We start from the raw sequence: 3,589 nt of genomic DNA on the forward strand, positions 1-3,589 counted from the left end.
ACTGACCCTATAATTCTTAATGTCATTACTCTTATCCAGTGACAGCCACAGTGGATTAATTGGGCCTAGAAGTAGGACTAGTAGACTGAGATATCAATAGAGAGGTAGCAGGAAGGATAATACAATGCCGTTCTGCAACCTATAGCTGCCCAGCACTGACTAGGGTAACAAGCAGACATCAAGGTTGGTGGCACTGCTGACAGCATTGCTTGGGGGCGGAAGGGCTGATATCACCCATATGAGAATCATTGGCATCCACATATTACCTGCCTACCTAATGAGTTTCAATTTATTAGGTTGGTGCAAAAGTAATTTGCCATTACTTCTAATGGCAAAAGCCACAATTACTTTTGCACCAACCTAATAATTGGGGAAGTTGTTGGAAGGGTTCAATGTCACTTCCTCTTTTAAATCATGGCCTAGATTCGGGCACTATTTAGCAAGGGAAGATGCATGCAACAAAAAAAATCACACCAATAATATCTAAAAATCAACAAAATTTTAGAACTCATTAGGAAGATTCATGAACAATTTGTGCTACTAAATAAATAATTTCCTTAGAGGATAAAAGAAATGTGTTTTTAATTATTGACATCTGTTGATTTATAATTAATTAATGGGAGGTATATCTCAAAGCACTTATCTTTTTATGTTAATATACCCTTCTAGAAAATATAAAACATTAACAAGGTGCAACTTTTATACATTTCCTGAATGTGTGAATAGTTCCAGAAAAAGTCCTAGGATTAACTTTTATTCAATCAGCTTGCATCACATATTCATCCCTGAACCAATCACTCTGCTCTAAGGAGTGGCTATGTTGATTGGTTGGGCCTGAGTCATTTGACCACTCCAGAGCCAATGGATGAAGTCACTTCAGTAGAACCATAGACTGAGATAATAGCAAAGGCATTTTTTTCCAAAGTATATTAGAATAGAAAATGGTTGTTGAGCAAGAGATACACAACATAACTTTGCAAAAAAAAAAAAAAGCCTTTATTTATGTTGCAAGGAATGGGCATTTATCTGGCAATAGACCCATGTCATTGGTTTGTGACTACAGATGCCCTTAATGTTTAAAGCTGGAATCCATATATATATATGTATCTGCACATTCACTACAAAATTCTTATCAATTACTACATAAATACATAAAATTCACAAACTGGAAAGACCTCAAGTTCATTTGTTCCAAATCTCATGTCTTGCAATTAAGAAAGCTAATACACAGAGAGTCTGACTCATCAAAGTCACATACATCATGACATGATAGAAATCCAGCTTCCTCCTTGCCTCTGAGTGAGTTAAATGGCATTACTGTGAACTCAAATGACTGTAATACAATGATGAGAACAGCAAGTGCCATTAGAAGGTACAAATAAAGTCCTCCGAGAATTCAAATATAGTAATCATCTTTGGCAAAGAGGCAGGCCATGCATTTCATCTAGATAGCTCAAACTTACACCGATGGATGTGCAAACCTATTTTTTATATCATTTTATGTAAATTTTTGAAAACTATATTAAATTCTTCCTTGCCTTTTTAAAATAGCAACCACTGAACATAATTTGGTCTTTTTGATAACTACACTATCATTATGAATCACTAGCACTGCATTATTATATGAAATACATGCAGTTCTGAATCTGTTTTTTAATTTTCTGCTTCCTCCTTCCTTATCTATGAACTGTTACTTCATAGCTGCCAGTTTGCTTGCTTCTAACATTTTCTCTGACTTCCTAATGTGTTACTTTTAATCTACTTTGAGCTGGGAAACCAAGAAACCCACAATTATTATGACCTCTGTTAAATAAAAATAAACAATTTCTAAGTGAGAGCATATAAGCCTGTAAGAAGGAAAGTCCATGGCTTTAGTCTGGGGACACAGGAGCTATTTTGAGTACCACACGGCCTTTTCTGCTTATTTCTGAGTTTGCATTCCAGGGAACAGAGGGTGCTGGGAGCCTGACCTCTGGTCAAGTAGGACATTACCATATATAAACATGATGGAGATTTACTAACAAGGGGTTTTACAAAGGATACCAGATTACTGAGATTACTGCCATGCCAGGTCAGTGCGGATGGTGTGGCAACCAGCTCATGCAGAAACACCCTCCAGACACACTCTAGGAAAGCTCCTAGAATATTGCTCATGGTTTAAACTTCTTTAGCTGTGGGCCTACAGCTGCTTTATCCCAGTTTCTGTTGGCAAGAACGTAACCCTAAGTCCTGGTTCCCTAAAGTGCTGAGTCACTCTGACAGTTTCTGAGGTTAAAATAAGGCATCCCTTCCCACCAGGAAGATCGTCAAAAATGTCTGCAAACCCATATCATTGTTGTAAGCTCACAAGTCTTCAGGTCAGACGAAAATTTTCAGCTCATCTTACCCAAAAGTGAGATTGTTGTTTAAACTCAGTATTCCTGGGCTTCATGAAAGAATGGAATCACAGCAAAAAATATAACACATTTCACTGGCTCTGGACTCTAACAGAAGGTTCAAAACCTTTGGCACCCTATAAAATTCCCTATCAATTATTTGTGGAGACCTCCAAGAGGTGCCTCAGAAATATGAATACTCCTATGGGGTGCCACAGTCTCTAACAAGCCATGATACTATTCTTCTGTTTTTCTCCAAGAACTAAACTTGACAACTGACACCCCATTGTTCAAGTAAGTATCATCCCCAGGTACTCAAGTGTTCACAGGATCCCTCAGCTCTGTGATCAGGGTACTTAGAAATGTGTGCCTGTTCCCACCCCACTCCTGCCCCACTATGGTAGAGACATCTCTAACACAAAGCTGTGCTATTTGTGTCCCAATGATTTACAAAGCTTCCAGGTCAACAGGTCTCTCTTATAGATGCTCAGATCTATATAGGATTCACCTATGGTTCAGGAGTAAGGATGCCTGAAACAAAAGTTAAAGCTGAGAGTCAGTTACTGTGTTCTATTTTAAAATAATTTCTTAATCATTTAATATATTGGTTCAGGTATCTTTTATTTTCAGGGTAAGTGCCTTCCAAGTACAATCCTAAGACCCTATGCCAAAAGGTTTCTGGTGAACTTGCCCCACTAATTTCTAATATATTCCCCAAAATGTCTCAGAATTCAGTTGTGGTGGTTGGAAGGGGACAATGTATATGAATTGAAATTCTGACAATCAATAATCTTCCCCCTCTCTTACTCTTCACCACCTAAGGTATCTACATTTTAAATTTAAATTTCATTCCTTCCTTTATTTACGTCAATTAAATAAGTGATCATTATATTCAAGCAGCTTGACTTTTAAAAGACTTCCTTGATGAACTGATTTATAAAGAGACTAATTGCTCTTTAATAATTACTACAGGACTTGTAGGACTCTTCACTCCCTACTTTATTTCATGTGCAACTATTTTATGATTCATTTTCTAAAATGATCAGCCTCATGTATATGGTCCCCACTGCATCTTTGAATCCCAAGTAGGCAAAAATAGCTATGCATATGATAAAAGAAAGATTTGTACCCTGGAGAAATGTATAAAAATTGTACACTGTAATTGTTTCATGTTTTCTAGAAGAGTACATTCCTATGAAAAAGATAAGTTCATT

At 37.0% G+C, this 3,589-nt stretch overlaps 1 annotated feature.

Annotated features, from left to right (window-relative positions):
- Positions 1,573-2,772: an enhancer, noted in NCBI's record as "MED14-independent group 3 enhancer chr3:148360892-148362091 (GRCh37/hg19 assembly coordinates)". NCBI's record gives its function as "activates an origin of replication core promoter dependent on BRD2, BRD4, P300/CBP and CDK7 cofactors, and independent of MED14, by STARR-seq in HCT116 cells {active_cell/tissue: HCT116}" and the evidence as "EXISTENCE:reporter gene assay evidence [ECO:0000049][PMID:35650434]".

Source organism: Homo sapiens, chromosome 3, assembly GCF_000001405.40.
Source record: "Homo sapiens chromosome 3, GRCh38.p14 Primary Assembly".
Taxonomy (NCBI): Eukaryota; Metazoa; Chordata; class Mammalia; order Primates; family Hominidae; genus Homo; species Homo sapiens.